Source organism: Homo sapiens, chromosome 1 (assembly GCF_000001405.40).
Source record: "Homo sapiens chromosome 1, GRCh38.p14 Primary Assembly".
Taxonomy (NCBI): Eukaryota; Metazoa; Chordata; class Mammalia; order Primates; family Hominidae; genus Homo; species Homo sapiens.
In genome coordinates, this window is record NC_000001.11 from 121,733,124 (window position 1) to 121,757,932 (window position 24,809).

General features: G+C 39.9%; 8 annotated features.

Moving 5' to 3' along the window:
• Positions 3,253–3,959: an enhancer, noted in NCBI's record as "OCT4-NANOG-H3K27ac-H3K4me1 hESC enhancer chr1:121478174-121478880 (GRCh37/hg19 assembly coordinates)". NCBI's record gives its function as "activates a minimal SCP1, AML or CMV promoter by ChIP-STARR-seq in naive and primed H9 embryonic stem cells {active_cell/tissue: H9 hESC(naive and primed)}" and the evidence as "EXISTENCE:reporter gene assay evidence [ECO:0000049][PMID:30033119]".
• Positions 3,960–4,666: an enhancer, noted in NCBI's record as "OCT4-NANOG-H3K27ac-H3K4me1 hESC enhancer chr1:121478881-121479587 (GRCh37/hg19 assembly coordinates)". NCBI's record gives its function as "activates a minimal SCP1, AML or CMV promoter by ChIP-STARR-seq in naive and primed H9 embryonic stem cells {active_cell/tissue: H9 hESC(naive and primed)}" and the evidence as "EXISTENCE:reporter gene assay evidence [ECO:0000049][PMID:30033119]".
• Positions 4,962–5,490: an enhancer, noted in NCBI's record as "OCT4-NANOG hESC enhancer chr1:121479883-121480411 (GRCh37/hg19 assembly coordinates)". NCBI's record gives its function as "activates a minimal SCP1, AML or CMV promoter by ChIP-STARR-seq in naive H9 embryonic stem cells {active_cell/tissue: H9 hESC(naive)}" and the evidence as "EXISTENCE:reporter gene assay evidence [ECO:0000049][PMID:30033119]".
• Positions 6,638–7,139: an enhancer, noted in NCBI's record as "OCT4 hESC enhancer chr1:121481559-121482060 (GRCh37/hg19 assembly coordinates)". NCBI's record gives its function as "activates a minimal SCP1, AML or CMV promoter by ChIP-STARR-seq in primed H9 embryonic stem cells {active_cell/tissue: H9 hESC(primed)}" and the evidence as "EXISTENCE:reporter gene assay evidence [ECO:0000049][PMID:30033119]".
• Positions 7,897–8,551: an enhancer, noted in NCBI's record as "OCT4-NANOG-H3K27ac hESC enhancer chr1:121482818-121483472 (GRCh37/hg19 assembly coordinates)". NCBI's record gives its function as "activates a minimal SCP1, AML or CMV promoter by ChIP-STARR-seq in naive and primed H9 embryonic stem cells {active_cell/tissue: H9 hESC(naive and primed)}" and the evidence as "EXISTENCE:reporter gene assay evidence [ECO:0000049][PMID:30033119]".
• Positions 8,552–9,205: an enhancer, noted in NCBI's record as "OCT4-NANOG-H3K27ac-H3K4me1 hESC enhancer chr1:121483473-121484126 (GRCh37/hg19 assembly coordinates)". NCBI's record gives its function as "activates a minimal SCP1, AML or CMV promoter by ChIP-STARR-seq in naive and primed H9 embryonic stem cells {active_cell/tissue: H9 hESC(naive and primed)}" and the evidence as "EXISTENCE:reporter gene assay evidence [ECO:0000049][PMID:30033119]".
• Positions 9,206–9,860: an enhancer, noted in NCBI's record as "OCT4-NANOG-H3K27ac-H3K4me1 hESC enhancer chr1:121484127-121484781 (GRCh37/hg19 assembly coordinates)". NCBI's record gives its function as "activates a minimal SCP1, AML or CMV promoter by ChIP-STARR-seq in naive and primed H9 embryonic stem cells {active_cell/tissue: H9 hESC(naive and primed)}" and the evidence as "EXISTENCE:reporter gene assay evidence [ECO:0000049][PMID:30033119]".
• Positions 9,861–10,513: an enhancer, noted in NCBI's record as "OCT4-NANOG-H3K27ac-H3K4me1 hESC enhancer chr1:121484782-121485435 (GRCh37/hg19 assembly coordinates)". NCBI's record gives its function as "activates a minimal SCP1, AML or CMV promoter by ChIP-STARR-seq in naive and primed H9 embryonic stem cells {active_cell/tissue: H9 hESC(naive and primed)}" and the evidence as "EXISTENCE:reporter gene assay evidence [ECO:0000049][PMID:30033119]".

Consider the following 24,809-nt stretch of genomic DNA (forward strand, 5'->3'; position numbering starts at 1 on the left):
CCATGTAGCTTTGATGAGAAGATATTTCCTTTTCCACCCCAAGCCTCGAAGCCCACCAAATGTCCCCTTGCAGATGCTAGAAAGAGGGGGTTTCAAAGCTACTCTCTCAAAAGGAAAGTACAACTCTGTGAGTTGAATGCAAACATCACAAAGAAGTTCCTGAGCATGCTTCCGTTTAGCTTTTACGGGAAGATTATCCCTTTTCCATCGGAATGTTCAAAGAGGTCCACATATCCGCTTGCAGATTCCACCGAAAGAGTGTTTCTAAACTGCTGCATCAAAAGGAATCCTCAGCTCCGTGAGTTGAATGCAATCATCACCAAGAAGTTTCTGACAATGCTTCTCTCTAGTTTTTATGTGAAGATATTTCCTTTTCCACCACTGGCCTGAAAGCGTTCCAAATGTCCACTTGGAGGCTCTACGAAAAGAATGTTTCAAAACTGCTCTATGAAAAGCAATGTTATACTCTGGGAGTTGAACACAAGCCTCACAAAGTAGTTTCTGAGAAGGCTTCTGTTTACTTTATACGTGAGGATATTCCCGTTTCCAAAGAAGTCTTCACAGAGTTCCACCTATCCATTTGCAGATGCTAGCAAAAGAGAGTTTCAAAACTGCTCTATCAAAAGGAATGTTCAACTCTGTGAGTTGCATGCAATCATCACAGAGAAGTTTCTGAGAAGGCCTCTGTCTAGATTTTACGTGAAGATATAGCCGTTTCGAACGAAGGCCACAAAGTGCTCCAAATATCCACTTGCAGGTCCTCCAAAAAGAGTGTTTCAAACGTGAACTACCAAAGGAAGGCTCAACTCTGGACTTTGAATGCCAACGTCAGAAAGATGTTTCTGCGAAAGCTTCTGTTTTCTTAGGCGACGTTATCCCGTTTCCAGTGAAATCCTCAGAGAGGTCCAAATATCCACCTGCAGAGTCTACAAAAAGTTTGTTTCAAATCTGCTCCACCCAAAGGAATGTTCAGCTCTGTGAGTTGAACTCAATCATCCCAAAGTATTTTCTGAGAATGCTTCTGTCCAGTTTTTACATGAAGCTGTTTCCTTTACTACCGTAGGCCTCAAAGCGTTCCAAATCCCCACTTGCAGATAGTACGAAAAGAGCGTTTCAACCTGAACTCACAAGGGAAGGTTCAACTCTGTCAGTTGAATGCCAACATCACAAAGAAGTTCTGAGAATGTTCCTCTTCAGTTATGTGAGGTTTATCCTGTTTCCAACGAAATTCTCAGAGAAATCCCAATATCCACTTGCATATTCTACAAAAGGTGTGTTTTGAAAATGCTCCATCATCTATGACAAACCCACAGCGAATATCATACTGAATGGGCAAAAACTGGAAGCATTCCCTTTGAAAACTGGCACAAGACCGGGATGCCCTCTCTCACCGCTCCTATTCAACATAGTGTTGGAAGTTCTGGCCAGGGCAATCAGGCAGGAGAAGGAAATAAAGGGTATTCAATTAGGAAAAGAGGAAGTCAAATTGTCCCTGTTTGCAGACGACATGATTGTTTATCTAGAAAACCCCGTCGTCTCAGCCCAAAATCTCCTTAAGCTGATAAGCAACTTCAGCAAAGTCTCAGGATACAAAATCAATGTACAAAAATCACAAGCATTCTTATACACCAACAACAGACAAACAGAGAGCCAAATCATGGGTGAACTCCCATTCACAATTGCTTCAAAGTGAATAAAATACCTAGGAATCCAACTTACAAGGGATGTGAAGGACCTCTTCAAGGAGAACTACAAACCACTGCTCAAGGAAATAAAAGAGGACACAAACAAATGGAAGAACATTCCATGCTCATGGGTAGGAAGAATCAATATCGTGAAAATGGCCATACTGCCCAAAGTAATTTACAGATTCAATGCCATCCCCATCAGGCTACCAATGACTTTCTTCCCAGAATTGGAAAAATCTGCTTTAAAGTTCATATGGAACCAAAAAAGAGCTCGCATTGCCAAGTCAATCCTAAGCCAAAAGAACAAAGCTGGGGGCATCACACTACCTCACTTCAAACTATACTACAAGGCTACAGTAACCAAAACAGCATGGTACTGGTACCAAAACAGAGATATAGATCAATGGAACAGAACAGAGCCCTCAGAAATAATGCCGCATATCTACAACTATCTGATCTTTGACAAACCTGAGAAAAACAAGCAATGGGGAAAGGATTCCCTATTTAATAAATGGTGCTGGGAAAACTGGTTAGCCATATGTAGAAAGCTGAAACTGGATCCCTTCCTTACACCTTACACAAAAATCAATTCAAGATGGATTAAAGATTTAAACATTAAACCTAAAACCATAAAAACCCTAGAAGAAAACCTAGGCATTACCATTCAGGACATAGGCGTGGGCAAGGACTTCATGTCCAAAACACTAAAAGCAATGGCAACAAAAGACAAAATTGACAAATGGGATCTAATTAAACTAAAGAGCTTCTGCACAGCAAAAGAAACTACCATCAGAGTGAACAGGCAACCTACAAAATGGGAGAAAATTTTCGCAACCTACTCATCTGACAAAGGGCTAATATCCAGAATCTACAATGAACTCAAACAAATTTACAAGAAAAAAACAAACAACCCCATCAAAAAGTGGGCGAAGGACATGAACAGACACTTCTCAAAAGAAGACATTTATGCAGCCAAAAAACACATGAAGAAATGCTCATCATCACTGGCCATCAGAGAAATGCAACTGAAAACCACTATGAGATATCATCTCATACCAGTTAGAATGGCAATCATTAAAAAGTCAGGAAACAACAGGTGCTGGAGAGGATGTGGAGAAATAGGAACACTTTTACACTGTTGGTGGGACTGTAAACTAGTTCAACCATTGTGGAAGACAGTGTGGCGATTCCTCAGGGATCTAGAACTGGAAATACCATTTGACCCAACCATCCCATTACTGGGTATATACCCAAATGAGTATAAATCATGCTGCTATAAAGACACATGCACACGTATGTTTATTGCGGCACTATTCACAATAGCAAAGACTTGGAACCAACCCAAATGTCCAACAATGATAGAATGGATTAAGAAAATGTGGCACATATACACCACGGAATACTATGCAGCCATAAAAAATGATGAGTTCATATCCTTTGTAGGGACATGGATGAAATTGGAAACCATCATTCTCAGTAAACTATTGCAAGAACAAAAAACAAAACACCACATATTCTCACTCATAGGTGGGAATTGAACAATGAGATCACATGGAAACAGGAAGGGGAATATCACACTCTGGGGACTGTGGTGGGGTCGGGGGAGGTGGGAGGGATAGCACTGGGAGATATACCTAATGCTAGATGACACATTAGTGGGTGCAGTGCACCAGCATGGCACATGTATACATATGTAACTGACCTGCACAATGTGCACATGTACCCTAAAACTTAGAGTATAATAAAAAAAAAAGAAAAAAAAAATGCTCCATCAAAAGATATGCTCAGCTCTGTGAGTTAAACTCAATCATCACAAAGAAATTTCTGAGAATGCTTCTGTCTTGTTTTAGGATGAAGTTATTTCCTTTACTACGATAGGCCTCAAAGAGGTCCAAATCTCCACTTGCAGATTCTGCAGAAGGAGTTTTTCAAACCTGAACTATCAGAGAAAGGTTCAACAATGTGAGTTGAATGCAAGCATCACGAAGAAGGTTCTAAGAATGCTTCTGTTTAGATAGGTGAGTTTTCTCCCGTATCCAACGAAATCCTCAGAGAGGTCCAAATATCCACTTGCAGATTCTACAGAAAGTGTGTTTTGAAACTCCTCCATCCAAAGGAATGTTCAGCTCTGTGAGTTGAACTCAATCGTCACAAAGCGTTTCCTGGGAATGCTACTGTCTAGTTTTTATGTGCAGTTATATCCTCTACTGCCATAGGCCTCAAAGCGGTCCAAATCTCCCCTTGCAGATTCTACCAAAAGTGTGTTTCCAAACGGCTCCATCAAAGGGAATGTTCAACTCTGTGACTTGAATGCAATCATCACAAAGCAGTTTCTGAGAATGCTTCCATGTAGCTTTTATGAGAAGATATTTCCTTTTCCACCCCAGGCCTCGAAGCCCTCCAAATGTCCCCTTGCAGATGCTAGAAAGAGAGGGTTTCAAAGCTGCTCTATCAAAAGGAAAGTACAACTCTGTGAGTTGAATGCAAACATCACAAGGAAGTTCCTGAGCATGCTTCCGTTTAGCTTTTATGGGAAGATTATCCCTTTTCCATCGAAATGTTCAAAGAGGTCCACATATCCGCCTGCAGATTCCACAGAAAGAGTCTTTCCAAACTGCTGTATCAAAAGGAATCCTCAGCTCCGTGAGTTGAATGCAATCATCACAAAGAAGTTTCTGACAATGCTTCTCTCTAGTTTTTATGTGAAGATATTTCCTTTTCCACCACAGGCCTGAAAGCGCTCCAAATGTCCACTTGGAGACTCTACGAAAAGAATGTCTCAAAACTGCTCTACGAAAAGCAATGTTATATTCTGGGAGTTGAACACAAGCCTCACAAAGGAGTTTCTGAGAATGCTTCTGTTTACTTTTTACGTGAAGATATTCCCGTTTCCAAAGAAATCTTCACAGAGTTCCACCTTCCCTTTGCAGATGCTAGAAAAAGAGAGTTTCAAAACTGCTCTATCAAAAGGAATGTTCAACTCTGTGAGTTGAATACAATCATCACAGAGAAGTTTCTGAGAAGGCTTCTGTCTAGATTTTATGTGAAGATATACCCGTTTCCAACGAAGGCCACAAAGTGCTCCAAATATCCACTTGCAGGTCCTCCAACAAGAGTGTTTCAACCGTGAACTATCAAAGCAAAGGTCAGCTCTGGACTTTGAATGCAAACGTCAGAAAGAAGTTTCTGCGAAAGCTTCTGTTTAGTTAGGTGACGTTATCCCGTTTCCAAAGAAATCCTCAGAGAGGTCCAAATGTCCACCTGCAGGGTCCACAAAAAGTGTGTTTCCAAACTGCTCCACCCAAAGGAATGTTCAGCTGTGTGAGTTAAACTCAATCATCACAAAGTATTTTCTGAGAATGCTTCTGTCCAGATTTTACATGAAGCTGTTTCCTTTACTACCGTAGGCCTCAAAGCATTCCAAATCTCCACTTGCAGATACTACGAAAAGAGCGTTTCAACCTGAACACAGAAGGGAAGGTTCAACTCTGTCAGTTGAATGCCAACATCACAAAGAAGTTCTGGGAATGTTTCTCTTCAGTTATGTGAGGTTTATCCCGTTTCCAACGAAATTCTCAGAGAAGTCCAAATATCCACTTGCATATTCTACAAAAAGTGTGTTTTGAACATACTCCATCAGAAGATATGCTCAGCTCTGTGAGTTAAATTCAATCATCGCAAAGAATTTTCTGAGAATGCTTCTGTCTTGTTTTAGGATGAAGTTATTTCCTTTACTACGATAGGCCTCAAAAGGTCCAAATCTCCACTTGCAGATTCTGCAGAAGGAGTGTTTCAAACCTGAACTATCAGAGAAAGGTTCAACACTGTGAGTTGAATGCAAGCATCACGAAGAAGATTCTGAGAATGCTTCTGTTTAGATAGGTGAGTTTTCTCCCGCATCCAACGAAATCCTCAGAAAGGTCCAAATATCCACTTGCAGAATCTACAGAAAGTATGTTTTGAAACTGCTCCATCCAAAGGAATGTTCAGCTCTGTGAGTTGAACTCAATTGTCGCCAAGTGTTTCCTGGGAATGCTACTGTCTAGTTTTTATGTGCAGTTATATCCTCTACTGCCATAGGCCTCATAGCGGTCCAAATCTCCCCTTTCAGATTGTACAAAAAGTGTGTTTCCAAACGGCTCCATCAAACGGAATGTTCAACTCTGTGACTTGAATGTAATCACCACAAAGCAGTTTCTGAGAATGCTTCCATGTAGCTTTTATGAGAAGATATTTCCTTTTCCACCCCAGGCCTCGAAGCCCTCCAAATGTCCCCTTGCAGATGCTAGAAAGAGAGGGTTTCAAAGCTGCTCTATCAAAAGGAAAGTACAACTCTGTGAGTTGAACGCAAACATCACAAAGAAGTTCCTGAGCATGCTTCCGTTTAGCTTTTATGGGAAGATTATCCCTTTTCCATCGAAATGTTCAAAGAGGTCCACATATCCGCTTGCAGATTCCACCGAAAGACTGTTTCCAAACCGCTGTATCATAAGGAATCTTCAACTCCGTGGTTTGAATGCCATCATCACAAAGAATTTTCTGACAATACTTCTCTCTAGTTTTTATGTGAAGATATTTCCTTTTCCAACACAGGCCTGAAAGCGCTCCAAATGTCCACTTGGAGACTCTACGAAAAGAATGTCTCAAAACTGCTCTATGAAAAGCAATGTTATACTCTGGGAGTTGAACACAAGCCTCACAAAGGAGTTTCTGAGAATGCTTCTGTTTACTTTTTACGTGAAGATATTCCCGTTTCCAAAGAAATCTTCACAGAGTTCCACCTTCCCTTTGCAGATGCTAGAAAAAGAGAGTTTCAAAACTGCTCTATCAAAAGGAATGTTCAACTCTGTGAGTTGCATGCAATCATCACAGAGAAGTTTCTGAGAAGGCTTCTGTCTAGATTTTATGTGAAGATATACCCGTTTCCAACGAAGGCCACAAAGTGCTCCAAATATCCACTTGCAGGTCCTCCAACAAGAGTGTTTCAAACGTGAACTATCAAAGCAAAGGTCAGCTCTGGACTTTGAATGCAAACGTCAGAAATAAGTTTCTGCGAAAGCTTCTGTTTAGTTAGGTGACGTTATCCCGTTTCCAACGAAATCCTCAGAGAGGTCCAAATGTCCACCTGCAGAGTCTACAAAAAGTGTGTTTCCAAACTGCTCCACCCAAAGGAATGTTCAGCTCTGTGAGTTAAACTCAATCATCACAAAGTATTTTCTGAGAATGCTTCTGTCCAGTTTTTACATGAAGCTGTTTCCTTTACTACCGTAGGCCTCAAAGCATTCAAAATCTCCACTTGCAGATACTACGAAAAGAGCGTTTCAACCTGAACTCACAAGGGAAGGTTCAACTCTGTCAGTTGAATGCCAACATCACAAAGAAGTTTCTGACAATGCTTCTCTGTAGTTTTTATGTGAAGATATTTCCTTTTCCACCACAGGCCTGAAAGCGCTCCAAATGTCCACTTGGAGACTCTACGAAAAGAATGTCTCAAAACTGCTCTATGAAAAGGAATGTTATACTCTGGGAGTTGAACACAAGCCTCACAAAGGTGTTTCTGAGAATGCTTCTGTTTACTTTTTACGTGAAGATATTCCCGTTTCCAAAGAAATCTTCACAGAGTTCCACCTATCCCTTTGCAGATGCTAGAAAAAGAGAGTTTCAAAACTGCTCTATCAAAAGGAATGTTCAACTCTGTGAGTTGAATGCAATCATCACAGAGAAGTTTCTGAGAAGGCTTCTGTCTAGGTTTTATGTGAAGATATACCCGTTTCCAACGAAGGCCACAAAGTGCTCCAAATATCCACTTGCAGGTCCTCCAACAAGAGTGTTTCAAACGTGAACTATCAAAGGAAGGTTCAGCTCTGGACATTGAATGCAAACGTCAGAAAGATGTTTCTGCGAAAGCTTCTGTTTAGTTAGGTGACGTTATCCCTTTTCCAATGAAATCCTCAGAGAAGTCCAAATGTCCACCTGCAGAGTCTACAAAACGTGTGTTTCCAAACTGCTCCACCCAAAGGAATGTTCAGCTCTGTGAGTTAAACGCAATCATCACAAAGTATTTTCTGAGAATGCTTCTGTCCAGTTTTTACATGAAGCTGTTTCCTTTACTACCGTAGGCCTCAAAGCGTTACAAATCTCCACTTGCAGATACTACGAAAAGAGCGTTTCAACCTGAACTCACAAGGGAAGGTTCAACTCTGTCAGTTGAATGCCAACATCACAAAGAAGTTCTGGGAATGTTTCTCTTCAGTTATGTGAGGTTTATCCCGTTTCCAAAGAAATTCTCAGAGAAGTCCAAATATCCACTTGCATATTCTACAAAAATGTGTTTTGAACATGCTCCATCAGAAGATATGCTCAGCTCTGTGACGTAAACTCAATCATTGCAAAGAATTTTCTGAGAATGCTTCTGTCTTGTTTTAGGATGAAGTTATTTCCTTTACTACGATAGGCCTCAAAGAGGTCCAAATCTCCACTTGCAGATTCTGCAGAAGGAGTGTTTCAAACCTGAACTATCAGAGAAAGGTTCAACACTGTGAGTTGAATGCAAGCATCACGAAGAAGGTTCTGAGAATGCTTCTGTTTAGATAGGTGAGTTTTCTCCCGTATCCAAAGAAATCCTCAGAAAGGTCCAAATATCCACTTGCAGATTCTACAGAAAGTGTGTTTTGAAACTGCTCCATCCAAAGGAATGTTCAGCTCTGTGAGTTGAACTCAATCGTCACAAAGTGTTTCCTGGGAATGCTACTGTCTAGTTTTTATGGGCAGTTATATCCTCTCCTGCCAAAGGCCTCAAAGCGGTCCAAATCTCCCCTTTCAGATTCTACCAAAAGTGTGTTTCCAAACGGCTCTATCAAAGGGAATGTTCAACTCTGTGACTTGAATGCAATCATCACAAGGCCGTTTCTCAGAATGCTTCCATGTAGCTTTTATGAGCAGATATTTCCTTTTCCACCCCAGGCCTCGAAGCCCTCCAAATGTCCCCTTGCAGATGCTAGAAAGAGAGGGTTTCAAAGCTGCTCTATCAAAAGGAAAGTACAACTCTGTGAGTTGAATCCAAATATCACAAAGAAGTTCCTGAGCATGCTTCCGTTTAGCTTTTATGGGAAGATAATCCCTTTTCCATCGAAATGTTCAAAGAGGTCCACATATCCGCTTGCAGATTCCACCGAAAGAGTGTTTCCAAACTGCTGTATCAAAAGGAATCTTCAACTCCGTGAGTTGAATGCAATCATCACAAAGAAGTTTCTGACAATGCTTCTCTCTAGTTTTTATGTGAAGATATTTCCTTTTCCACCACAGGCCTGAAAGCGCTCCAAATGTCCACTTGGAGACTCAACGAAAAGAATGTTTCAAAACTGCTCTATGAAAAGCAATGTTATCCTCTGGGAGTTGAACACAAGCCTCACAAAGGAGTTTTTGAGAATGCTTCTGTTTACTTTTTATGCTAGACAGAAGAATTCTCAGTAACTTCCTTGTGTTGTGTGTATTCAACTCACAGAGTTGAACGATCCTTTACACAGAGCAGACTTGAAACACTCTTTTTCTGGAATTTGCAAGTGGAGATTTCAGCCGCTTTGTGGTAAATGGTAGAAAAGGAAATATCTTCGTATAAAAACTAGATAGAATGATTCTCAGAAACTCCTTTATGATGTGTGCTTTCAACTCACTGAGTTTAACATTTCTTTTCATAGAGCAGTTAGGAAACACTCTGTTTGTAAAGTCTGCAAGTGGATATTCAGACCCCCTTGAGGCCTTCGTTGGAAACCGTATTTTTTCATATTATGCTAGACAGAAGAATTCTCAGTAATTTCCTTGTGTTGTGTGTATTCAACTGACAGAGTTGAACTTTCATTTAGAGAGAGCAGATTTGAAACACTGTTTTTGTGGTATTTGCAAGTGGAGATTTCAAGCGCTTTGGGGCCAAAGGCAGAAAAGGAAATATCTTCGTATAAAAACTAGACAGAATCATTCTCAGTAACTGCTCTGTGATGTGTGCGTTCAACTCTCAGAGTTTAACTTTTCTTTTCATTCAGCAGTTTGGAAACACTCTGTTTGTAAAGTCTGCACGTAGATATTTTGACCACTTAGAGGCCTTCTTTGGAAACGGTTTTTTCTCATGTAAGGCTAGACAGAAGAATTCCCAGTAACTTCCTTGTGTTGTGTGCATTCAACTCACAGAGTTGAACGTTCCCTTAGACAGAGCAGATTTGAAACACTCTATTTGTGCAATTTGCAAGTGTAGATTTCAAGCGCTTTAAGGTCAATGGCAGAAAAGGAAATATCTTCGTTTCAAAACTAGACAGAATCATTCCCACAAACTGCGTTGTGATGTGTTTGTTCAACTCACAGAGTTTAACCTTTCTGTTCATAGAGCAGTTAGGAAACGCTCTGTTTGTAAAGTCTGTAAGTGGATATTCTGACATCTTGTGGCCTTCGTTGGAAACGGGATTTCTTCCTATTCTGCTAGACAGATGAATTCTCAGTAACTTCCTTGTGTTGTGTGTATTCAACTCACAGAGTTGAACGATCCTTTACACAGAGCAGACTTGAAACACTCTTTTTGTGGAATTTGCAAGTGGAGATTTCAGCCGCTTTGAGGTCAATGGTAGAAAAGGAAATATCTTCGTATAGAAACAAGACAGAATGATTCTCAGAAACTCCTTTGTGATGTGTGCGTTCAACTCACAGAGTTTAACCTTTCTTTTCATAGAGCAGTTAGGAAACACTCTGTTTGTAAAGTCTGCAAGTGGATATTCAGACCTCCTTGAGGCCTTCGTTGGAAACGGGATTTCTTCATATTCTGCTAGACAGAAGAATTCTCAGTCACTTCCTTGTGTTGTGTGTATTCAACTCACAGAGTTGAACGATCCTTTACACAGAGCAGACTTGAAACACTCTTTTTGTGGAATTTGCAAGTGGAGATTTCAGCCGCTTTGAGGTCAATTGTAGAATAGGATATATCTTCGTATAGAAACTAGACAGAATGATTCTCAGAAACTCCTTTGTGATATGTGCGTTCAACTCACAGAGTTTAACCTTTCTTTTCATAGAGCAGTTAGGAAACACTCTGTTTGTAAAGTCTGCAAGTGGATATTCAGACCTCTTTGAGGCTTTCGTTGGAAACGGGATTTCTTCATATTCTGCTAGACAGAAGAATTGTCAGTAACTTCCTTGTGTTGTGTGTATTCAACTCACAGTGTTGAACGATCCTTTACACAGAGCAGACTTGAAACACTCTTTTTGTGGAATTTGCAAGTGGAGATTTCAGCCGCTTTGTGGTCAATGGTAGAAAAGGAAATATCTTCGTATAGAAACTAGACAGAATGATTCTCAGAAACTCCTTTGTGATGTGGGCGTTGAACTCACAGAGTTTAACCTTTCTTTTCATAGAGCAGTTAGGAAACACTCTGTTTGTAAAGTCTGCACATGGATATTTTGACCACTTAGAGGCCTTCGTTGGAAACGTGTTTTTTTCATGTAAGGCTAGACAGAAGAATTCCCAGTAACTTCCTTGTGTTGTGTGCATTCAACTCACAGAGTTGAACGTTCCCTTAGACAGAGCAGATTTGAAACACTCTATTTGTGCAATTTGCAAGTGTAGATTTCAAGCGCTTTAAGGTCAATGGCAGAAAAGGAAATATCTTCGTTTCAAAACTAGACAGAATCATTCCCACAAACTGCGTTGTGATGTGTTCGTTCAACACACAGAGTTTAACCTTTCTGTTCATAGAGCAGTTAGGAAACACTCTGTTTGTAAAGTCTGTAAGTGGATATTCTGACATCTTGTGGCCTTCGTTGGAAACGGGATTTCTTCATATTGTGCTAGACAGAAGAATTCTCAGTCACTTCCTTGTGTTGTGTGTATTCAACTGACAGAGTTGAACTTTCATTTAGAGAGAGCAGATTTGAAACACTGTTTTTGTGGAATTTGCAAGTGGAGATTTCAAGCGCTTTGGGGCCAAAGGCAGAAAAGGATATATCTTCGTATAAAAACTGGACAGAATCATTCTCAGAAACTGCTGCGTGATGTGTGCGTTCAACTCTCAGAGTTTAACTTTTCTTTTCATTCAGCGGTTTGGAAACACTCTGTTTGTAAAGTCTGCACGTGGATATTTTGACCACTTAGAGGCCTTCGTTGGAAACGGGTTTTTTTCATGTAAGGCTAGACAGAAGAATTCCCAGTAACTTCCTTGTGTTGTGTGCATTCAACTCACAGAGTTGAACGTTCCCTTAGACAGAGCAGATTTGAAACACTGTATTTGTGCAATTTGCAAGTGTAGATTTCAAGCGCTTTAAGGTCAATGGCAGAAAAGGAAATATCTTCGTTTCAAAACTACACAGAATCATTCCCACAAACTGCGTTGTGATGTGTTCGTTCAACTCACAGAGTTTAACCTTTCTGTTCATAGAGCAGTTAGGAAACACTGTGTTTGTAAAGTCTGTAAGTGGATATTCTGACATCTTGTGGCCTTCGTTGGAAACGGGATTTCTTCATTTTCTGCTAGACAGAAGAATTCTCAGTAACTTCCTTGTGTTGTGTGTATTCAACTCACAGAGTTGAACGATGCTTTACACAGAGCAGACTTGAAACACTCTTTTTGTGGAATTTGCAAGTGGAGATTTCAGCCGCTTTGAGGTCAATGGTAGAAAAGGAAATATGTTCGTAAAGAAACAAGACAGAATGATTCTCAGAAACTCCTTTGTGATGTGTGCGTTCAACTCACAGAGTTTAACCTTTCTTTTCATAGAGCAGTTAGGAAACACTCTGTTTGTACAGTCTGCAAGTGGATATTCTGACCTCCTTGAGGCCTTCGTTGGAAAAGGGATTTCTTCATATTCTGCTAGACAGAAGAATTCTCAGAAACTTCCTTGTGTTGTGTGTATTCAACTCACAGAGTTGAACGATCCTTTACATAGAGCAGACTTGAAACACTCTTTTTGTGAAATTTGCAAGTGGAGATTTCAGCCGCTTTGAGGTCAACGGTAGAATAGGAAATATCTTCCTATAGAAACTAGACAGAATGATTCTCAGAAACTCCTTTGTGATGTGTGCGTTCAACTCACAGAGTTTAACCTTTCTTTTCATAGAGCAGTTAGGAAACACTCTGTTTGTAAAGTCTGCAAGTGGATATTCAGACCTCTTTGAGGCTTTCGTTGGAAACGGGATTTCTTCATATTCTGCTAGACAGAAGAATTCTCAGAAACTTCCTTGTGTTGTGTGTATTCAACTCACAGAGTTGAATGATCCTTTACACAGAGCAGACTTGAAACACTCTTTTTGTGGAATTTGCAAGTGGAGATTTCAGCCGTTTTGAGGTCAATGGTAGAATAGGAAATATCTTCCTATGGAAACTAGACAGAATGATTCTCAGAAACTCCTTTGTGATGTGTGCGTTCAACTCACAGAGTTTAACCTTTTTTTTCAAAGAGCAGTTAGGAAACACTCTGTTTGTAAAGTCTGCAAGTGGATATTCAGACCTCTTTGAGGCTTTCGTTGGAAACGGGATTTCTTCATATTCTGCTAGACAGAATAATTCTCAGAAACTTCCTTGTGTTGTGTGTATTCAACTCACAGAGTTGAACGATCCTTTACACAGAGCAGACTTGAAACACTCTTTTTGTGGAATTTGCAAGTGGAGATTTCAGCCGCTTTGTGGTCAATGGTAGAAAAGGAAATATCTTCGTATAAAGACTAGACAGAATGATTCTCAGAAACTCCTTTGTGATGTGTGCGTTCAACTCACAGAGTTTGACCTTTCTTTTCACAGAGCAGTTAGGAAACACTCTGTTTGTAAAGTCTGCAAGTGGATATTCAGACCTCTTTGAGGCCATTGTTGGAAACGGGATTTCTTCATATTCTGCTAGACAGAAGAATTCTCAGAAACTTCCTTGTGTTGTGTGTATTCAACTCACAGAGTTGAACGATCCTTTACACAGAGCAGACTTGAAACACTCTTTTTGTGGAATTTGCAAGTGGAGATTTCAGCCGCTTTGTGGTCAATGGTAGAAAAGGAAATATCTTCGTATAGAAACTAGACAGAATGATTCTCAGAAACTCCTTTGTGATGTGGGCGTTGAACTCACAGAGTTTAACCTTTCTTTTCATAGAGCAGTTAGGAAACACTCTGTTTGTAAAGTCTGCACATGGATATTTTGACCACTTAGAGGCCTTCGTTGGAAACGTGTTTTTTTCATGTAAGGCTAGACAGAAGAATTCCCAGTAACTTCCTTGTGTTGTGTGCATTCAACTCACAGAGTTGAAGGTTCCCTTAGACAGAGCAGATTTGAAACACTCTATTTGTGCAATTTGCAAGTGTAGATTTCAAGCGCTTTAAGGTCAATGGCAGAAAAGGAAATATCTTCGTTTCAAAACTACACAGAATCATTCCCACAAACTGCGTTGTGATGTGTTCGTTCAACTCACAGAGTTTAACCTTTCTGTTCATAGAGCAGTTAGGAAACACTCTGTTTGTAAAGTCTGTAAGTGGATATTCTGACATCTTGTGGCCTTCGTTGGAAACGGGATTTCTTCATATTGTGCTAGACAGAAGAATTCTCAGTCACTTCCTTGTGTTGTGTGTATTCAACTGACAGAGTTGAACTTTCATTTAGAGAGAGCAGATTTGAAACACTGTTTTTGTGGAATTTGCAAGTGGAGATTTCAAGCGCTTTGGGGCCAAAGGCAGAAAAGGATATATCTTCGTATAAAAACTAGACAGAATCATTCTCAGAAACTGCTGCGTGATGTGTGCGTTCAACTCTCAGAGTTTAACTTTTCTTTTCATTCAGCGGTTTGGAAACACTCTGTTTGTAAAGTCTGCACGTGGATATTTTGACCACTTAGAGGCCTTCGTTGGAAACGGGTTTTTTTCATGTAAGGCTAGACAGAAGAATTCCCAGTAACTTCCTTGTGTTGTGTGCATTCAACTCACAGAGTTGAACGTTCCCTTAGACAGAGCAGATTTGAAACACTCTATTTGTGCAATTTGCAAGTGTAGATTTCAAGCGCTTTAAGGTCAATGGCAGAAAAGGAAATATCTTCGTTTCAAAACTACACAGAATCATTCCCACAAACTGCGTTGTGATGTGTTCGTTCAACTCACAGAGTTTAAGCTTTCTGTTCATAGAGCAGTTAGGAAACACTGTGTTTGTAAAGTCTGTAAGTGGATATTCTGACATCTTGTGGCCTTCGTTGGAAACGGGATTTCTTCATTTTCTGCTAGACAGAAGAATTCTCAGAAACTTGCCTGTGTTGTGTGTATTCAACTCACAGAGTTGAACAATCCTTTACACAGAGCAGACTTGAAACACTCTTTTTGTGGAATTTGCAAGTGGAGATTTCAGCCGCTTTGAGGTCAATGGTAGAAAAGGAAATATCTTCGTATAAAGACTAGACAGAATGATTCTCAGAAACTCCTTTGTGATGTGTGCGTTCAACTCACAGAGTTTGACCTTTCTTTTTACAGAGCAGTTAGGAAACACTCTGTTTGTAAAGTCTGCAAGTGGATATTCAGACCTCTTTGAGGCCATCGTTGGAAACGGGATTTCTTCATATTCTGCTAGACAGAAGAATTCTCAGAAACTTCCTTGTGTTGTGTGTATTCAACTCACAGAGTTGAACGATCCTTTACACAGAGCAGACTTGAAACACTCTTTTTGTGGAATTTGCAAGTGGAGATTTCAGCCGCTTTGTGGTCAATGGTAGAAAAGGAAATATCTTCGTATAGAAACTAGACAGAATGATTCTCAGAAACTCCTTTGTGATGTGGACGTTGAACTCACAGAGTTTAACCTTTCTTTTCATAGAGCAGTTAGGAAACACTCTGTTTGTAAAGTCTGCACATGGATATTTTGACCACTTAGAGGCCTTCGTTGGAAACGGGTTTTTTTCATGTATGGCTAGACAGAAGAATTCCCAGTAACTTCCTTGTGTTGTGTGCATTCAACTCACAGAGATGAACGTTCCCTTAGACAGAGCAGATTTGAAACACTCTATTTGTGCAATTTGCAAGTGTAGATTTCAAGCGCTTTAAGGTCAATGGCAGAAAAGGAAATATCTTCGTTTCAAAACTAGACAGAATCATTCCCACAAACTGCGTTGTGATGTGTTCGTTCAACTCACAGAGTTTAACCTTTCTGTTCATAGAGCAGTTAGGAAACACTGTGTTTGTAAAGTCTGTAAGTGGATATTCTGACATCTTGTGGCCTTCGTTGGAAACGGGATTTCTTCATATTGTGCTAGACAGAAGAATTCTCAGTCACTTCCTTGTGTTGTGTGTATTCAACTGACAGAGTTGAACTTTCATTTAGAGAGAGCAGATTTGAATCACTGTTTTTGTGGAATTTGCAAGTGGAGATTTCAAGCGCTTTGGGGCCAAAGGCAGAAAAGGATATATCTTCGTATAAAAACTGGACAGAATCATTCTCAGAAACTGCTGCGTGATGTGTGCGTTCAACTCTCAGAGTTTAACTTTTCTTTTCATTCAGCGGTTTGGAAACACTCTGTTTGTAAAGTCTGCACGTGGATATTTTGACCACTTAGAGGCCTTCGTTGGAAACGGGTTTTTTTCATGTACGGCTAGACAGAAGAATTCCCAGTAACTTCCTTGTGTTGTGTGCATTCAACTCACAGAGTTGAACGTTCCCTTAGACAGAGCAGATTTGAAACACTCTATTTGTGCAATTTGCAAGTGTAGATTTCAAGCGCTTTAAGGTCAATGGCAGAAAAGGAAATATCTTCGTTTCAAAACTACACAGAATCATTCCCACAAACTGCGTTGTGATGTGTTCGTTCAACTCACAGAGTTTAACCTTTCTGTTCATAGAGCAGTTAGGAAACACTGTGTTTGTAAAGTCTGTAAGTGGATATTCTGACATCTTGTGGCCTTCGTTGGAAACGGGATTTCTTCATTTTCTGCTAGAAAGTAGAATTCTCAGTAACTTCCTTGTGTTGTGTGTATTCAACTCACAGAGTTGAACGATGCTTTACACAGAGCAGACTTGAAACACTCTTTTTGTGGAATTTGCAAGTGGAGATTTCAGCCGCTTTGAGGTCAATGGTAGAAAAGGAAATATGTTCGTAAAGAAACAAGACAGAATGATTCTCAGAAACTCCTTTGTGATGTGTGCGTTCAACTCACAGAGTTTAACCTTTCTTTTCATAGAGCAGTTAGGAAACACTCTGTTTGTACAGTCTGCAAGTGGATATTCTGACCTCCTTGAGGCCTTCGTTGGAAAAGGGATTTCTTCATATTCTGCTAGACAGAAGAATTCTAAGAAACTTCCTTGTGTTGTGTGTATTGAACTCACAGAGTTGAACGATTCCTTACATAGAGCAGACTTGAAACACTCTTTTTGTGGAATTTGCAAGTGGAGATTTCAGCCGCTTTGAGGTCAACGGTAGAATAGGAAATATCTTCCTATAGAAACTAGACAGAATGATTCTCAGAAACTCCTTTGTGATGTGTGCGTTCAACTCACAGAGTTTAACCTTTCTTTTCATAGAGCAGTTAGGAAACACTCTGTTTGTAAAGTCTGCAAGTGGATATTCAGACCTCTTTGAGGCTTTCGTTGGAAACGGGATTTCTTCATATTCTGCTAGACAGAAGAATTCTCAGAAACTTCCTTGTGTTGTGTGTATTCAACTCACAGAGTTGAACGATGCTTTACACAGAGCAGACTTGAAACACTCTTTTTGTGGAATTTGCAAGTGGAGATTTCAGCCGCTTTGAGGTCAATGGTAGAATAGGAAATATCTTCCTATGGAAACTAGACAGAATGATTCTCAGAAACTCCTTTGTGATGTGTGCGTTCAACTCACAGAGTTTAACCTTTTTTTTCAAAGAGCAGTTAGGAAACACTCTGTTTGTAAAGTCTGCAAGTGGATATTCAGACCTCTTTGAGGCTTTCGTTGGAAACGGGATTTCTTCATATTCTGCTAGACAGAAGAATTCTCAGAAACTTCCTTGTGTTGTGTGTGTTCAACTCACGGAGTTGAACGATCCTTTACACAGAGCAGACTTGAAACACTCTTTTTGTGGAATTTGCAAGTGGAGATTTCAGCCGCTTTGTGGTCAATGGTAGAAAAGGAAATATCTTCGTATAAAGACTAGACAGAATGATTCTCAGAAACTCCTTTGTGATGTGTGCGTTCAACTCACAGAGTTTGACCTTTCTTTTCACAGAGCAGTTAGGAAACACTCTGTTTGTAAAGTCTGCAAGTGGATATTCAGACCTCTTTGAGGCCATTGTTGGAAACGGGATTTCTTCATATTCTGCTAGACAGAAGAATTCTCAGAAACTTCCTTGTGTTGTGTGTATTCAACTCACAGAGTTGAACGATCCTTTACACAGAGCAGACTTGAAACACTCTTTTTGTGGAATTTGCAAGTGGAGATTTCAGCCGCTTTGTGGTCAATGGTAGAAAAGGAAATATCTTCGTATAGAAACTAGACAGAATGATTCTCAGAAACTCCTTTGTGATGTGGGCGTTGAACTCACAGAGTTTAACCTTTCTTTTCATAGAGCAGTTAGGAAACACTCTGTTTGTAAAGTCTGCACATGGATATTTTGACCACTTAGAGGCCTTCGTTGGAAACGGGATTTCTTCATATTCTGCTAGACAGAAGAATTCTCAGTAACTTCTTTGTGTTGTGTGTATTCAACTCACAGAGTTGAACGATCCTTTACACAGAACAGACATGAAACACTCTTTTTGTGGAATTTGAAGTGGAGATTTCAGCCACTTTGAGGTCAATGGTAGAATAGGAAATATCTTCGTATAGAAACTAGACAGAATGATTCTCAGAAACTCCTTTATGATGTGTGCATTCAATTCACAGAGTTTAACGTTTCCTTTCATAGAGCAGTTAGGAAACTCTCTATTTGTAAAGTCTGCAAGTGGATACTCAGACCTCTAGAGGCTTCGTTGGAACGGGATTTCTACATATTATGCTATACAGAAGAATTCTCAGTAACTTCCTTGTGTTGTGTGTATTCAACTCACAGAGTTGAACGATCCTTTACACAGAGCAGACTTGAAACACTCTTTTTGTGGAATTTGCAAGTGGAGATTTCAGCCGCTTTGAGGTCAATGGTAGAATAGGAAATATCTTCCTATAGAAACTAGATAGAATGATTCTCAGAAACTCCTTTGTGATGTGTGCGTTCAACTCATAGAGTTTAACCTTTCTTTTCATAGAGCAGTTAGGGAACACTCTGTTTGTAAAGTCTGCAAGTGGATATTCAGACCTCTTTGAGGCTTTCGTTGGAAACGGGATTTCTCCCTATTCTGCTAGACAGAAGAATTCTCAGAAACTTCCTTGTGTTGTGTGTATTCAACTCACAGAGTTGAACGATCCTTTACACAGAGCAGACTTGAAACACTCTTTTTGTGGAATTTGCAAGTGGAGATTTCAGCCGCTTTGAGGTCAATGTTAGAAAAGGAAATATCTTCGTATAAAGACTAGACAGAATGATTCTCAGAAACTCCTTTGTGATGTGTGCGTTCAACTCACACAGTTTAACCTTTCTTTCCATAGAGCAGTTAGGAAACACTCTGTTTGTAAAGTCTGCAAGTGGATATTCAGACCTCTTTGAGGCCTTCGTTGGAAACGGGATTTCTTCATATTCTGCTAGACAGAAGAATTCTCAGTAACTTCCTTGTGTTGTGTGTATTCAACTCACAGAGTTGAACGATCCTTTACACAGAGCAGACTTGAAACACTCTTTTTGTGGAATTCGCAAGTGGAGATTTCAGCCGCTTTGAGGTCAATGGTAGAATAGGAAATATCTTCCTATAGAAACTAGACAGAATGATTCTCAGAAACTCCTTTGTGATGTGTGCGTTCAACTCACAGAGTTTAAGCTTTCTTTTCATAGAGCAGTTGGGAAACACTCTGTAAAGTCTGCAAGTGGATATTCAGACCTCTTTGAGGCTTTCGTTGGAAACGGGATTTCTTCATATTCTGCTAGACAGAAGAATTCTCAGAAACTTCATTGTGTTGTGTGTATTGAACTCACAGAGTTGAACGATCCTTTACACAGAGCAGACTTGAAACACTCTTTTTGTGGAATTTGCAAGTGGAGATTTCAGCCGCTTTGAGGTCAATTGTAGAAAAAGAAATATCTTCGTATAGAAACTAGACAGAATGATTCTCAGAAACTCCTTTGTGATGTGTGCGTTCAACTCACAGAGTTTAACCTTTCTTTTCATAGAGCAGTTAGGAAACACTCTGTTTGTAAAGTCTGCAAGTGGATATTCAGACCTCTTTGAGGCTTTCCTTGGAAACGGGAGTTCTTCATATTCTGCTAGACAGAAGAATTCTCGGAAACTTCCTTGTGTTGTGTGTATTCAACTCACAGAGTTGAACGATCCTTTACACAGAGCAGACTGGAAACACTCTTTTTGTGAAATTTGCAAGTGGAGATTTCAGCCGCTTTAAGGTCAATGGTAAAATAGGAAATATCTTCCTATAGAAACTAGACAGAATGATTCTCAGAAACTCCTTTGTGATGTGTGCGTTCAACTCACAGAGTTTAACCTTTCTTTTCATAGAGCAGTTAGGGAACACTCTGTTTGTAAAGTCTGCAAGTGGATATTCAGACCTCTTTGAGGCTTTCGTTGGAAACGGGATTTCTCCCTATTCTGCTAGACAGAAGAATTCTCAGAAACTTCCTTGTGTTGTGTGTATTCAACTCACAGAGTTGAACGATCCTTTACACAGAGCAGACTTGAAACACTCTTTTTGTGGAATTTGCAAGTGGAGATTTCAGCCGCTTTGAGGTCAATGTTAGAAAAGGAAATATCTTCGTATAAAGACTAGACAGAATGATTCTCAGAAACTCCTTTGTGATGTGTGCGTTCAACTCACACAGTTTAACCTTTCTTTCCATAGAGCAGTTAGGAAACACTCTGTTTGTAAAGTCTGCAAGTGGATATTCAGACCTCTTTGAGGCCTTCGTTGGAAACGGGATTTCTTCATATTCTGCTAGACAGAAGAATTCTCAGGAACTTCCTTGTGTTGTGTGTATTCAACTCACAGAGTTGAACGATCCTTTACACAGAGCAGACTTGAAACACTCTTTTTGTGGAATTCGCAAGTGGAGATTTCAGCCGCTTTGAGGTCAATGGTAGAATAGGAAATATCTTCCTATAGAAACTAGACAGAATGATTCTCAGAAACTCCTTTGTGATGTGTGCGTTCAACTCACAGAGTTTAAGCTTTCTTTTCATAGAGCAGTTGGGAAACACTCTGTAAAGTCTGCAAGTGGATATTCAGACCTCTTTGAGGCTTTCGTTGGAAACGGGATTTCTTCATATTCTGCTAGACAGAAGAATTCTCAGAAACTTCATTGTGTTGTGTGTATTGAACTCACAGAGTTGAACGATCCTTTACACAGAGCAGACTTGAAACACTCTTTTTGTGGAATTTGCAAGTGGAGATTTCAGCCGCTTTGAGGTCAATTGTAGAAAAAGAAATATCTTCGTATAAAAATTAGACAGAATGATTCTCAGAAACTCCTTTGTGATGTGTGCGTTCAACTCACAGAGTTTAACCTTTCTTTTCATAGAGCAGTTAGGAAACACTCTGTTTGTAAAGTCTGCAAGTGGATATTCAGACCTCTTTGAGACCTTCGTTGGAAACGGGATTTCTACATATTCTGCTAGACAGAAGAATTCTCAGTAACTTCTTTGTGTTGTGTGTATTCAACTCACAGAGTTGAACGATCCTTTACACAGAGCAGACGTGAAACACTCTTTTTGTGGAATTTCAAGTGGAGATTTCAGCCGCTTTGAGGTCAATTGTAGAAAAAGAAATATCTTCGTATAAAAATTAGACAGAATGATTCTCAGAAACTCCTTTGTGATGTGTGCGTTCAACTCACAGAGTTTAACCTTTCTTTTCATAGAGCAGTTAGGAAACACTCTGTTTGTAAAGTCTGCAAGTGGATATTCAGACCTCTTTGAGACCTTCGTTGGAAACGGGATTTCTACATATTCTGCTAGACAGAAGAATTCTCAGTAACTTCTTTGTGTTGTGTGTATTCAACTCACAGAGTTGAACGATCCTTTACACAGAGCAGACTTGAAACACTCTTTTTGTGGAATTTCAAGTGGAGATTTCAGCCGCTTTGAGGTCAATGGTAGAATAGGAAATATCTTCCTATAGAAACTAGACAGAATGATTCTCAGAAACTCCTTTATGATGTGTGCATTCAACTCACAGAGTTTAACGTTTCTTTTCATAGAGCAGTTAGGAAACACTCTGTTTGTAAAGTCTGCAAGTGGATATTCAGACCTCCTAGAGGCCTTCGTTGGAAACGGGATTTCTTCATATTATGCTAGACAGAAGAATTCTCAGTAACTTCCTTGTGTTGTGTGTATTCAACTCACAGAGTTGAACGATCCTTTACACAGAGCAGACTTGAAACACTCTTTTTGTGGAATTTGCAAGTGGAGATTTCAGCCGCTTTGAGATCAATGGTAGAATAGGAAATATCTTCCTATAGAAAGTAGACAGAATGATTCTCAGAAACTCCTTTGTGATGTGTGCGTTCAACTCACAGAGTTTAACCTTTCTTTTCATAGAGCAGTTAGGAAACACTCTGTTTGTAAAGTCTGCAAGTGGATATTCAGACCTCTTTGAGGCTTTCCTTGGAAACCGGATTTCTTCATATTCTGCTAGACAGAAGAATTCTCGGAAACTTCCTTGTGTTGTGTGTATTCAACTCACAGAGTTGAACGATCCTTTACACAGAGCATACTGGAAACACTCTTTTTGTGTAATTTGCAAGTGGAGATTTCAGCCGCTTTAAGGTCAATGGTAGAATAGGAAATATCTTCCTATAGAAACTAGACAGAATGATTCTCAGAAACTCCTTTGTGATGTGTGCATTCAACTCACAGAGCTTAACCTTTCTTTTCACAGAGCAGTTAGGAAACACTCTGTTTGTAAAGTCTGCAAATGGATATTCAGACCTCTCTGAGGCCTTCGTTGGAAACGGGATTTCTTCATATTATGCTAGACAGAAGAATTCTCAGTAACTTCCTTGTGTTGTGTGTATTCAACTCACAGAATTTAACGATCCTTTACACAGAGCAGACTTGAAACACTCTTTTTGTGGAATTTGCAAGTGGAGATTTCAGCCGCTTTGTGGTCAATGATAGAAAAGGAAATATCTTCGTATAAAAACTAGACAGAATGTTTCTCAGAAACTCCTTTGTGATGTGGGCGTTGAACTCACAGAGTTTAACCTTTCTTTTCATAGAGCAGTTAGGAAACACTCTGTTTGTAACGTCTGCAGGTGGATATTTGGACTTCTTTGAGGTCTTCGTTGGAAACGGGTTTTTTTCATGTAAGGCTAGACAGAAGAATTCTCAGTAACTTCCTTGTGTTGTGTGTATTCAACTGACAGAGTTGAACTTTCATTTAGAGAGAGCAGATTTGAAACACTGTTTTTGTGGAATTTGCAAGTGGAGGTTTCAAGCGCTTTGGGGCCAAAGGCAGAAAAGGATATATCTTCGTATAAAAACTAGACAGAATCATTCTCAGAAACTGCTGCGTGATGTGTGCGTTCAACTCTCAGAGTTTAAAGTTTCTTTTCATTCAGCGGTTTGGAAACACTCTGTTTGTAAAGTCTGCAAGTGGATATTCAGACCTCTTGGAGGCTTTCGTTGGAAACGGGATTTCTTCATATTCTGCTAGACAGAAGAATTCTCAGTAACTTCCTTGTGTTGTGTGTATTCAACTCACAGAGTTGAACGATCCTTTACACAGAGCAGACTTGAAACATTCTTTTTGTGGAATTTGCAGGTGGAGATTTCAGCCGCTTTGAGGTCAATGGTAGAAAAGGAAATATCTTCGTATAGAAACTAGACAGAATGATTCTCAGAAACTCCTTTGTGATGTGTGCGTTCAACTCACAGAGTTTAACCTTTCTTTTCATAGAGCAGTTAGGAAACACTCTGTTTGTAAAGTCTGCAAGTGGAAATTCAGACCTCTTTGAGACCTTCGTTGGAAACGGGATTTCTTCATATTCTGGTAGACAGAAGAATTCTCAGTAACTTCTTTGTGTTGTGTGTATTCAACTCACAGAGTTGAACGATCCTTCAAACAGAGCAGACTTGAAACACTCTTTTTGTGGAATTTCAAGTGGAGATTTCAGCCGCTTTGAGGTCAATGGTAGAATAGGAAATATCTTCCTATAGAAACTAGACAGAATGATTCTCAGAAACTCCTTTATGATGTGTGCATTCAACTCACAGAGTTTAACGTTTCTTTTCATAGAGCATTTAGGAAACACTCTGTTTGTAAAGTCTGCAAGTGGATATTCAGACCTCCTAGAGGCCTTCGTTGGAAACGGGATTTCTTCATATTCTGCTAGACAGAAGAATTCTCAGTAACTTCCTTGTGTTGTGTGTATTCAACTCACAGAGTTGAACGATCCTTTACACAGAGCAGACTTGAACACACTTTTTTTGGTATTTTTCAGTGGAGATTTCAGCCGCTTTGTGGTCAATGGTAGAAAAGGAATATCTTCGTATAAAGACTAGACAGAATGATTCTCAGAAACTCCTTTGTGATGTGTGCGTTCAACTCACAGAGTTTAACCTTTCTTTTCATAGAGCAGTTAGGAAACCTCTGTTTGTNAAGTCTGCAAGGGGATATCAGACCTCTTTGAGCTTTCTTNGAAACTGGATTTCTCCTATCTGCTAAAGAAGAATTCTCAAAACTCATTGGGTGGGTGGATGGACTCCCAAAGTGACGATCCTTAACCGAAGCAACGTGACCCTCTTTTGGGAATTTGCAGTGGAAATTCACCGCTTGGGTCAAGGTAAAAAGAAATTCTCCATAAAACCAACCAAGGTTTCCAAACCCTTTGGAAGGGCGTCACCCACAATTAACTTCTTTCAAAGATTGGAAACCCTGTTAGGCGAGGAATAAACCTCTGGGCCTTGAAAAGTTCTTTTGGGAAAAAAATACAATCTTGTGGTTTTCCCAGGAGACTTCTACAACAGACCCTTGGATAGGGATACCCTTGGGGGAAAAATTAAAAAAAATAACCTGTGGGCACAATTTTTGAAAACGTGGGGAAACCTGGGTTTTCAANNNT